This window comes from Homo sapiens, chromosome 11, assembly GCF_000001405.40.
Source record: "Homo sapiens chromosome 11, GRCh38.p14 Primary Assembly".
Lineage (NCBI taxonomy): Eukaryota > Metazoa > Chordata > Mammalia > Primates > Hominidae > Homo > Homo sapiens.
In genome coordinates, this window is record NC_000011.10 from 73,022,072 (window position 1) to 73,035,402 (window position 13,331).

Below are 13,331 nucleotides of genomic sequence, written 5' to 3' on the forward strand. Positions count from 1 at the left end.
CAACAGAGTGATTCTGTGTCTCAACAAAGAAAAAAAGCAAAAAATAAAAACCAAAACTAAACGACACACATAAAACTAAAGTTAACACCATACTTTTAATGGTGAGTGAATGCTTTTCCCTTAAGATAGAGATAAGGCAAAGATTTTCTCTGTTACACTTCTTTTCAACATTGTACTGGAAGCCCTACTTAGTACAATAAGGCAAGAAAAAGAAATAAAAGGCATACAGATAGGAAAGGAAGAAATAAAGCTATCTTTATTCATAGATGACATGATTGTCTATGTAAGAAACCCTGAAGAATCTACCAAAAAACCTCATGGAACTAATAACTGAGTTTAGCAAAGTTGCACAATACAACGTCAATATTCCAAAGTTAATTGCTCTCCTACATACATGCAATGAACAACTGGAATTTGAAATTTTATTAAATGAAGTACTTAGGTATAAATCCCACAAAATGTTTGCAGGATCTGTATGTGGAAAAGTCCATAATACTAATGAAAGAAAGAAAAGAATAAAAGAATCTAAATGGATGGAGAGACATTCCATGTTAATGACTTGGGACTTCATATTGTTAAGGTCTTATTTGTTCCCAATATGATCTATACATTCAAGGCAATCTCAATCAATAGTCCAGAAAGATAAAGGTATTAGAATAGCCAAAATTCAGAAAAATAAGAACAAAATCAGAGCACTCTCATTACCTGACTTCAAGGTATACCTTGAAGGCTGCAGGAATCAAGATAGCATGATGTTGGCAAAAGAATGGACAGATAGATCAGTGGAACAAAAGAGAGATCCCAGAAATAGACCCATACAAATATAGTAAACTGATTTTTCACAAAGGGGCAATGACAATTCAATGGAGACAGGATAGTCTCAATCAACAAGTGATGCTAGAACAATTGAATGACCATAAACAACAACAAAACAACAAAAACCCTTGACACATACCTCACGAGTTACACAAAAATTGGCTCAAAATGATTCATACACCTCAATATAAAGCATAAAACTATGAAACATTTAGAAGAACAGAGAAGAAAATCTCCTTGACCTTTGGTGAAAAGTTTTAACATATAACACCAGAACCAAGACACATGAAAGAAAAATGATAAATTGGACCTTATCAGAATTAAACTCTTTCTTCTGGAAAAGACACTACAAAGAGAATAAAAAGACAAGCTGCAGATTAGGAAAAAATACTTGCAAATCATGTATCTGATAAAGGAAGTCCAAATATATAAAGAATTCCTAAAATTCAACAGTAAGAAAAAAATCAACACATTTTTAAAATGGGCAAAGGATCTGAAAAGATACTTCATCAAAGAAGATATAAGAATGGCAAACAAGCATATGAAAAGAAGTTCAGCATCACTTGTCATTACGGAAATGCAAACTAAAATAATGTGGTACCACTACACATGTATTAGAATGCTAAATCCAAAAAATTAACAGCAAGAAATGCTAGTGAGGACGCAGAGTTACAGAGTACTCCTTCAACGGTGGTGGGAATGCAAAATAGTATGGCCACTTTGAAAGACAGTTTTGAAATTTCTTATGAACAGAGACTTCCACAATCATGTTCTAGGTATTTGGCCAACTGATTTGAAAACTTAGGTTCACAAAAAAACCTGAGCACAAATGCTTCTGGCAGCTTTATTGATAAACTTGGCAACAAAGATGTCCTTCAGTAGGTGAATGGATAAACAAACTGTGGTACATAATTATAATGGAATAGTACTTAGCAATTAAAAGAAACAAACTATTAATTCACATAACTTGGATGAATCTTAAAATGCATTTTGTTAAGTCAAAGAAGCCAAATTAAAAAGGTTACACACTGTATTATTCCATTCATATGACATTCTGGGAAAGACCAATTGATAGAGAAAACAGATCAGTGATTTTGAGGGGTTTGGGGAGAAGGAAGTGTTTGCTAGGGGAAGAATTTTAAGGGTGGTGAACTAATATACATAGTATTGTAGTAGTGGATCTGCAACACTATACATTTGTCAAAACCCAAAGAACTTTGACAATACCCACAGAACTTTGACAAGAGACAAAGAATGACTCTTAATATACGTAAATTAAAAAAAATCTACCAGTGGTTGGGGGAACCGAAGATAGAATGCAGACTGTGACAAATCCAATTGTATTACAAAATGTGAGACATAACCTCATAAATGGGTATGGGGAATGAAGGGGCAAATTTTATAATTCTGTAAAATAATGTGTTTATAAATGGATTCAAGAAACTCTGGAAAAAAGTATTTTAGCTAGAAACTGTACGACTAAAGACAAAAAACTGTATATAAACATTGTACACTAGTTGATAAAGTTGTTTCTCACTAGGCACAGGTAAAAAATTCTGAAAAGTGGTACACATATACTGGGATTAAACAAACATGTAAACAGATGGCAGAGGGTAAAAGCTCAGTGTTGGAGTGGGACTTAGAAATAAGAAGGGGAAATGAGAATGAATTACATGGGGGTAAATTAGAGTCACAGACATCAAGTTCAATATATATTTTGTTGCAATTGCAACAAAATCAAGCATTGACAAATGGGATCTAATTAAACTGAAGAGCTTCTGCACATCAAAAGAAACTATCAACAGAGTAAACAGACACCCTACCGAATGGGAGAAAATACTGCAAACTACGCATCCCACAAAGGTCTAATATCCAGCATCTATAAGGAAATTAAACAAGTTTACAGGGAAAAAAACAACAATCCCATTAAGAAATGGGCAAAGGACATGAACAGACGCTTTTCAAAAACAGACATACATGCAGCCAACAATCAAATGAAAAAAAGCTCAATATCACTGATCATTAGAAAAATGCAAATCAAAATCACAATGAGATACTATCTAACACCAGTCCAAATGGCTATTATTAAAAAGTCAAAAAATAACAGAAGTTGGCAAGGTCGTGGAGAAAAAGAACGCTTATACACTGTTTATGGAAGTGTAAATTAGCTCAGGCATTGTGGAAGACTGTCATGATTCCTCAAAGAACTAAAGACAGAAATACCATTCAAGCCATCAATCCCATTACTGGGTACATACCCAAAGGAATATAAATCATTCTATTATAAAGATACATGCACACATATGTTCACTGCAACACTATTCACAGTAGAAAAGACATGGAATCAACCTAAACGCCCATCAGTGATAGACTGGATAAAGAAAATGTGGTATATATATACCATGGAGTACTATGCAGCCACAAAGAAAGAATGAGATAATGTCTTCTGCAGGAACATGGATGGAGCTGGAGGCCATTATCCTTTGCAAACGAATGCAGGAAAAGAAAACCAAATACCACATATTCTCACTTATAAGTGGAAGCTAAATGATGAGAACACATGCACACATAGAGGGGAACAACAGGCACTGAGGCCTTTTGGAGGGTGGAGGGTGGGAGGAGGGAGATAATGAGAAAAAAATAACTAATGGGTACTAGGCTTAATACCTGGGTGATGCAATAATCTGTACCACAACCCCCGATGACACAAGTTTAACTATGTAACAAACCTGCACTTGTACCCCTGAACTTAAAATAAAAGTTTAAAAATTAAATAAATAGAATTTTAAAAATTTTTTAAATCTCCTTGGAATTAGTTTGTAGAATTATAATCTGTATACTTGTGACTAAACTATATCTCTAAATTGGTATATCCTTATGACTAAGAATTTTTTTAAAGCTATATAGTATTTCAGTCAAAAACCAAATCTTAATGTGTTATGCTGTATGATGTACCAACTCAGTAACATCCTTCTGGTCTCCCGTAACCATCCACATATACCAGTAGGTATGTGTGGTATATATACCTACTGATATGCTCCACGTTTTGACTAAAAAACACAGATATGCTCCATGTTTTGACTAAAGAATTATAGAGATTCATTTTATGTATGTATGTATGTATGTATGTATGTATGTATGTATGTATGTATTTTGACATAGAGTCTCACTCTGTTCCCAGGCTCAATTGATCCTCCCATCTCAGACTCTAGAGTAGTTGGGACTACAGGTGTGTGCCACTGCACCCAGCTCATTTTTTTATTTTGTTTTTGATACAGATGAGGTTTCACCATGTTGACCAGGATGGTCTCAAATTCCTGGGCTCAAGCAGTCCACCTACCTTGGGCTCCCAAGTGCTAGGGTTACAGGCATAAGCCACCGTACCCAGCCTATACAGATAAATGAAATATTCTGTATGAGGACTATAGTTCATAGTATACTGGATTCAGGATTTTGCTAAATGAATAATTACAGTTGCTCTTGCCACTGGGAGCAAAATGACTGACTGAGACAATGGATGCTAATTTGTTCCACTATAGTGACCATTTTACATCATATCTTATAACATCATATCATATACCTTAAATATATGCAATAAAATTTATTTTAAAATAAAAGAAACCGAGTATAAAAATAATGTAGAATATATAAAACAGATATACAGTGCTCTAAAAAACTTTAAAGATAGGGGGAGGTGGTTTGTATATTCAAATAGACTTAATTGAGAACTACATATGATTAAAGATCAGAAGGACAAATGAGAGTTAACTGTCTAAGGGAAGTGATATGGTTTGGCTCTGTATCCCCACCCAAATCTCATCTTGAATTGTAATCCCCATGTGTCAGAGGAGGGACCTGCTAGGAGGTGATTGGATCACAGGGGCAGATTTCCCCATGCTGTTCTCATGACAGCAAGTGAGTTCTCATGAGATCTAATGGTTTAAAAGTTTGGCACTTCCCCCTTTGCTCGCTCTCTCTCCTGCGACCATGTAAGACATGCCTTGCTTTCCCTTTGCCTTCTACCATGATTTTAAGTTTCCTGAAGGCTCCCCAACCATGCAGACCTGTGAGTCAATTAAACCTCTTCCTTGATAAATTACCCAGTCTCAGCTAGTTCTTTATAGCAGTGTGGAAATGGAGTAATACAGAAAATTGGTACCGAGAGACATGGCGTATTTCTATAAAAATACCTGAAAATGTGGAAGTGACCTTGGAACTGGGTAGCAGGCAGAGGTTGGAACAGTTTGGAGGGCTCAGAAGAAGAGAGGAGGATGTCGGAAAGTTTGGAACTTCCTAGAGACCTGTTGAATGGTTTTGACCAAAACCATTGATCACTGATAGTGATATGGGCAATGAAATCCAGGCTGAGTAGGTCTCAGAGGGAGAAGAGGAACTTATTGAGAACTAGAGCAAAGGTCACTCTTGCTATGCTTTAACAGAGAGACTGGCAGCATTTTGCCCCTGCCCTAGAGATCTCTGGAACTTTGAACTTGAGAGAGATGATTTAGGGTATCTGGCAGAAGAAATTTCTAAGCAGCAAAGCATTCAAAATGTAACCTGGCTTTTTCTGAAAGCATACAGTCATATCCAGTCATAAAGAGATGGTCTAAAATTGGAACTTATGTTTAAAAGGGAAGTAGAGTGTAAAAGTTTGAAAAATTTGCAGCCTGACCATGAGGTAGAAAAGAAAAACCAATTTTCTGAAGAGAAATTCAAGCTGGCTGCAGAAATTTGCATGAGTAAAAAGAAGCCAAATGTTAATAGCCAAAACAATGAAGAAAATGTCTCCAGGGCATTTCAGAGATGTTCGCTGCACTCCCCGCCATCACAGGCCCAGGAGGCCTAGGAAGGAAAAATGGTTTTGTAGCCCAGGACCAGGGCTGTGCTGCTCTGTGCAGCCTTGGGACACGGTGCCCTGCACCCCAGCTGCTCCAGCTCCAGCCGTGGCTAAAAGGGGCCAAGGTACAGCTCGAGCTGTTGCTTCAGAGGGTGCAAGCCCCAAACCTTGGTGGCTTCCACATGGTATTGGGCCTGTAGTTGTGCAGAAGATAAGAACTGATGTTTGGAAACCTCTGCCTAGATTTCAGAGAATGTATGGAAACACCTGGATGTCCAGGCAGAAGTCTGCTGCAGGGGCAGAGCCCTCATGGAGAACCTCTTCTAGGGCACTACAGAGGGGAAATGTGGGGTTGGAGCCCCCACACAGAATGCTCACAGGGGCACTGCCTACTGGAGGGGTGAGAAGAGAGCCACCATCCTCCAGATCCCAGAAAACCTCACACCATGTACCTGGAAAAGCCGCAGGCACTCAATGGCAGCCTGTGAAAGTAGCTGCAGGTGCTGTACCCTGCAGAGCCACAAGGACAGAGATGCTTAAGGCCTTGGGAGCCCACATCTTGCAACAGCGTGCCCTGGATGTGAGACATGGAGTCAAAGGAGATTATTTTGGAGCTTTTACTATTTAATAACTGCCCTGTTACGTTTCAGACTTGCATGGGGCCTGTAGCCCCATTGTTTTGGCCAATTTCCCCCATTTTGAATGGCAGCATTTATCAAATGCCTGTACCCCCATTGTATCTTGGAAGTAACTAACTTGCTTTTGATTTTACAGGCTCACAGGCAGAAGGGACTTCCTTGTCTCAGATGAGACTTTGGCCTTGGACTTTTGGGATAATGTTGGCATGAGTTAAGACTTTGGTGGACTGTTGAGACGGCATGATTGTGTTTTGAAATGTGAGAAGGACATGAGATTTGGGTGGGCCAGGGGTGGAATGATATGGTTTGGCTCTGTGTCCCCACCCAATTCTCAACTGGAATTGTAATCCCCATGTGTCAGGGGAAAAACCTGGTGGGAGGAGATTGGATCATGAGGGCAGATTTTCCTCATGCTGGTCTCATGATAGTGAGTTCTCATGAGAGCTGATGGTTTAAAAGTTTAGCACTTCCCCTTTCGTTCTCTCCGTCTCTCCTGCCACCATGTAAGAGATGCCTTGCTTCCCCTTTGCCTTCTGCCATAAGTTTCCTGAAGGCTCCCAAGCCACGTGAAACTGTGAGTCCATGAAACCTCTTTTCTTTATAAATTACCCAGTCTCAGGTAGTTCTTCATAGCAGTGTGAAAACGGACTAACACAGGAAGCATGACATACAGCAATGAAAGTAGAAAGTTAGTCAAGAGACAAACTATGAAGACCAGAAAGGGCACCATAAATATAATGGTGTAGTACACTAAAAACGATAAAATGCCATTGAAAACCTTTTAAATAAGGAGATAAAAATCAATTTGCATTTTTAAAAGGTCATTTTCACAGCTATGTAGGAAACAACTTTGGGGGAAAACAAAAGATACGGAAACCACTTACAAGACTATTGTAGGAGCAAATTCTGAGAATAAGGCAGAGCAGAAAGGACCAGGAATCTTGTCTCCCAACCTAGACAACAATCACACTGCGGCAAGATCGGTTTGATGCAATTATTTTAGAATTCTAGAAGCCACTGTGGACTTGCAACTCCCAGAGAAAGATTTGGAGAGTAAATTACAGTTAATTTAGGTCAATTTCAGCTCTTAGCTCAGCTGTGGCTACCCATCTTTATCCCTGGCCCATTGGCAGGCAGCCATGCATATGTTCCTGGAACAACTCCTATGCTCCTTATGGGAGCCAGGATGGGCAAATGGGACCCTATCTTGTGCTATGATCACTGACTGCTGCTTATGATTGTGGAGGTGCAGACACAGAGGTAGGAAGTCATTGCAGCACCCTTTCCCTATTGCTACAAGCCCTTCCCCCTTAGGCTGAAGTGACTTCCGGGGAACTTAAAGGGACAGCGTCCTTTTTCCCTGTCTTCATTTTCCCACCTTTTGAGAACCACACATTGAAAATTAGGACATTGAAGGGCAATTGCATATTTGAGAGAAATTAGTAAGTCACCACAATATACAGAGAAAGGCACAGGCTCAGAAAATTCCTGAGAAGACCTTAAGTTTACATCTCAGGCTGATCCTCAGCATGGAGACTACTTATGTTAATCAAAAACAAAAGAAAAACAAAAACAAAAACAAACTAGCAAAACCTCAGAAAGAGGGAGAATCTGATGTCCAGAGTCACCACCTTATTAGATTCAAATGGCCAGTTTTTAACAACAACAACAACAACAACAAAAATCACAAAGCATACAAAGAAATAGGTAAGAAATACCCAAGGGAATGCCATTAGTTTGAAAATATTTTTGCCTACAGTTATAAAACTGCTACATGATAGCAGTACCCCCACAACCCCACATAACCCACAACTGATTGCTTAGTTCCTATGTATATGTATGCGTGTGTGGGTAATCACAGTATCTTGTCCAAAAGTCAAGACACTTATCGGAAGATGTGCACTTCTGCTAGGTACTAGCATAGATTCTAGAAGTATGTATAAGAGAAAGTTCCTGTCTTGTTCTTCAAGAGATGATGCAATAGAGAGATTATACTAAATAAAAAAAACAAAAGGAGATATTTTCACAACTGAATATACAAAACTCAATTTACCATACATAAATGTATCCAAGTGAGTATATAGTTTTTACGCCAACCAGGAAAGGCAATAGGGATGGATTGTATATGTCTCCAGAGCCCTAAACACAGAGTAACATTCAAGAATACTGTTACGGCTTCCTGGGCATTGTATAAGGTCTCTTACCTGATGACCTTAACTTTGTAAAGATGGTGGTGGTCAATACTTTAATCTATTTAAAAACCTCATTGGAGCTACAAATCAATCCACAAAACCAACAAAGAAAAATATATTAATAGTACTGACATTTAAAAAATACTGTATATATTTAAGACGTACAACATGAAATTTTGCTATACATATTGATAGTGAAATGGTTACCACAGTCAAGCAAATTTAATATATCCATCATTTCACATTGTTATCCCTTTTTGTGTATGTGTGCCTAGAGCACCTAAAGCCTACTCTTTCAGCAAAAAATCCTGAATACAATATTATTAACTATAGTCCTCATGATACACATTATATCTCTATACTTGCGCGTCCTGAATTTCTGCTATTTTTTATCCTTTGACCTAAGAAACTGTAGTATACACATACACATACACACACACATTGACGCACACCTCCAGAAATACTATTCAGCCTTAAAAAAAAGGGAGATCCTGCTATTTGTCACAACATGTATGAATCTGGATGGGTTCATCCAGAATATGTTAAGTGAAATAAGCCAGATAGAAAGAAGACGACTACTATTTGATCTGTTATATATGGAATCTAAAAAAATAAAAAAACTTGAATAAATAGAGAATAAAGGCCGGGCACGGTGGCTCACATCTGTAATTCTAGCACTTTAGGAGGCTGAGGCAGGTGGATTGCTAGAGCCAAGTTTGAGACCAGCCTGGGCAACATAACGAAACCCTGTCTCTATCAAAAATTATAAAAATTAGCCTGGTGTGGTGGTGTGTGCCTGTAGTCCCAGCTACTCGGGAGGCTGAGGTGGGAGGATCACTTGAGGGCGGGAGGTGGAGGCTGCATTGAGTTGTGACTACTGCACTCCAGCCTGGGTGACAGAACAAGACCCTGTCTCCGAAAAAAAAAGAGAGACAGAGAGAGAATAAAGCAGTGGTTACCAGGAACGGGGAGGGAGACAGTAATGCCAACATTTGTACTGGGTGTTACACTTACAAAGTATTTGTATATGCATTATGTTGTTCGATCTTCACTTAAACTGAATGTAGTAAGTATCCTATTAGAATCTGACCAACAAAGGACCATATTAACCAACACTGCTTATACCCAGGAATCCAACCCAAGCCTTCTGACTCCAAGGCCAGTCCACACTCCCGTTATTCTATTTCTCACCATTGATATGAACTGATACATTACAGGTAACCAACACAAATCAGGTAAGAGCTGGCACAGCAGCCTTTTCGCCTGGAAAAGGCATATGCATTGCTTAACAAGTTTTATTAAGTGCTTTCTATAGGGAAGGCACTGTATTAGATGCTGGGGGAATAGCAATAAACATTATGGGTATTATCAATGTTCTTCTGGTATGTATATTCTGCCAGGGATTAATTTAAAAAATTAATATCCACCAAGAGGAACTATTAACTAAATTATGGTCATCAGTATGCTGCAATGTTACACAATTATTAAAGAGAATGTGCTATATAGTCTCAAATATTTAATAAAAATATATAAGCTGCAGAAAAATGAATAGCACGGTCCTATTTTAATTTAAAAAACATGTAAGCATATATACTCTAGAATACATATGAACTTGGAAATGAGGTTCAAAAGTAAGAGCTTTTAGTTTTTATTCTTTATACCACTGGATTGTTCAATGTTTTTTTATTTTAAGAGATGGGGTCTCACTCTGTTGCCCGGGCTGGAGTACAACAGCACAATCATTGTTCACTGCAGCCTCAAATACCTGGGCTTAAGCGATCTTCCCACCTCGGCTTCCCAAGAAACTAATATTACAGGTGTGCATTGCCTGGTTAATTTTTTTAATTTTTTTATAGAGACAGGGTCTCACTTTATTGCCAAGGTTGGTCTCAAACTCCTGGCCTTAAGTGATTCTCCCGACTTGGCATCCCAAGGTGCTAGGATTACAGGTGTGAGCCACCATGCTTGGCCTATTTCTATCACTTAATTGCTCAGTATTTTTAAAGCAAATGTTTATTACCTTCCTAACTGAAAAAAAAAAAGCACAACAAAGAGGAAAAACTCAAGAAGTCACCATTTGGTGTAGGTATTACAACAGGAAAGTATATGGGAACATAAAGCAGAGAGATCGAGTCAGGGAAGGCTTCCCCAAAGGAAATGAAAATTGACATCTAAAAAAAAAGAGCCTGTAACGAGAGGTGGGGTGCAAGTGGGAACATAGCCCCTTCAAGAAACTTCATACAAGCTGGCATGGAGCTTGTAAAAGGGAGAATGGCTTAAAGGTGAGACTGAATAAGTAAGGGCTATATCACACAAGGATTTATGTTTGGACTACCTTAAGACAACAGGAAATCAAGCTTGCGAGCAGTGCAGTGCCATTATCAGACTAAAATGTGATTTAAAAATCATTCTAGCTGCAGTGTGGGAAACATGGATTAAGAGTACTTAGATTGGCCGGGTGCGGTGGCTCACACCTGTAATCCCAGCACTTTGGGGGGCTGAGGCATGCGGATCATGAGGTCAGGAGATCGAGACCATCCTGGCTAACATGGTGAAACCCCGTCTCTACTAAAAATATAAAAAATTAGCTGGGCATGGTGGCGGGCACCTGTAGTTCCAGCTACTCGGGAGGCTGAGGCAGGAGAATGGCATAAACCCGGGAGGCGGAGGTTGCAGTGAGCTGAGATCGCGCCACTGCACTCCAGCCTGGGCAACAGAGCGAGATTCCGACTCAAAAAAAAAAAAAAAGTAGTTAGACTACAGTCAGGGAGACCCATAGGAGGCTACCACTCTAGTCCTGTCCAAAGATGATATGCACAGTATGGAGGCAAAGAGATGTAAATGGGACAAGTTTTAGTGCAAAGAATTTTAGAATTATGAACAGAAGAGACAGAAACAGGTAATCTCTAAGGTCTCCGCTTATAAACATACTCTGACCCCTCACATTTTAGATCTACTAGATGTAGCACAGAAATGGAGGAATTATAGGGCGCTACACAAGACATCTTCCACAAGAATATTCCTCTAACATTAAAAGATATGAAGCAACTACAAGCATATCCACACTCCCAAACCAGGATAAAACTATGTTAATTAAATACTCAAACTATGGAATTCTATACAAATTTATATAATTTATGGTTATTGGCAATAGTAAAAAGACCAGGACTTTGAAGTCAACACTTGAGTTTGAGTACTGTACTGCCTTTGCTGTGAATTAGTTATGAGTATTCTTGGATAAGACACCAAGCTAACTAGGTTAAGTAGGTTTTTTCCCACATCCCAGTTAACAACTAGTATACTGTATTTACCTATTTGATGACGTGACTTGAAGTTGAAACATGATGGTAAACAACGCTTATGACACAGAAACATTCAATAATGTTGTTTTAAAGAAATTTTATTTATCATGTTATTACGAATAGAAATCATGAAAATATAATAGACAATTTTAATACCGATAGCAAATATATCATCTTTTTTTAAGAGTTGCTTTTTTCTTTCTAAAGTTTTTCTTTTTTAAAAAATTATTTTTATTATACTTTAAGTTCTGGGATACATGTGCAGAATGTGGAGGTTTGTTACATATGTATACATGTGCCGTGGTGGTTTGCTGCACCCATCCACCCATCATCTAGGTTTTAAGCCCTACATGCATTAGGTATTTGTCCTAATGCTCTCCCTCCCCTTTAAGGTTTTTCTTTAAATATATTTACAGATACGTTAAAGTGGAATTTTTTAAAAGCCTTTTAAGACCAAGTGCTCACACCTACTTCAAAACATGAAGCTAGAAATTCTCATGTAGCCTGTCTGATTTGACTTTGGTAGCACACAAACATGCAAAAACGTTCCTCTTCCTGAAAGAAGCAATTTCCAGCTGTCTAACCTAAAACACAAATGATTACACACCAGAAACTGTTACTAATGTTAAAATTCGGTACCAGAGGCTGAGCCTGTACCAAGGAAATAGAGATCAAAGTTTCCACTCTTGTGAAAACATCTCAAGTTAGGAACCACATCAATAAAACACAATACTCAGAACTCAGCAAATTTATACTCATAGTAAAGAAAAAGTCAGTCAAAGTAAGCTTTAACTCTTGATACTACATCGCCTACATTGTTGAAGTTTCCCAATTTTTTTCAACTTCAATAAACTTATTTGCACAAAATGACCTGCAAATTTTAAAGTAAAAGTAAATAGAGCATTGCAATTTACTTATTAAGGATCAGGTGAATTTTGACCAGAACTTCGAAGCAGCAAAAGAAAATAAATTATAGAAGGACTAAAAGTCAAAAGAACCAAGACTGTCAATCTGTCTGTCAACAACACAACTGAAAATCCTCTGGGTGCAAAGTAGTACCTTTAAAAAGGTCACTCCACAGGCAGCTAAAGTACTATAGGATAAATGTCACCTGCTGAGTCAGACTCTAGAGGTGGGGCTGAGACACTGATAGTTTAACAAACTTCACAGGTGATTCTGATATGCAGCCACTATTGGGAACAACTAGTATACTGGTTAAGAGCACAGACACACATTCTCAGGTTTAACTCCTGGACCTTGACAAGTTATTTAACTTGTTTTTAGTTTTTATTTTTATGTATGTATGTATGTATGTATGTATGTATGTATGTATGTATGTATGTATGTACGTACTAAGACAAGGTCTCGCTCTGTCACCCAGGTTGGAGCGCAGTGGCGCGATCTTGGCTCACTTGCAACCTCCACACCCACCAGGCTCAAGAGAGTAGCTGGCACTACAGGCACGCACCACTACTCCTGGCTTGTATTTTTTGTAGAGACGGGGGTCTCATCATGTTGCCCGGCTGTTCTCGAACTCCTAAGCTCA

The 13,331-nt window shown here is 38.5% G+C and overlaps 1 protein-coding gene across 5 annotated transcripts in view; it reads right to left on the reverse strand.

Moving 5' to 3' along the window:
- Positions 1–13,331, reverse strand: part of FCHSD2 (FCH and double SH3 domains 2) — a 305,574-nt gene that overhangs the window by 185,327 nt on the left and 106,916 nt on the right. The window lies entirely within an intron of this gene.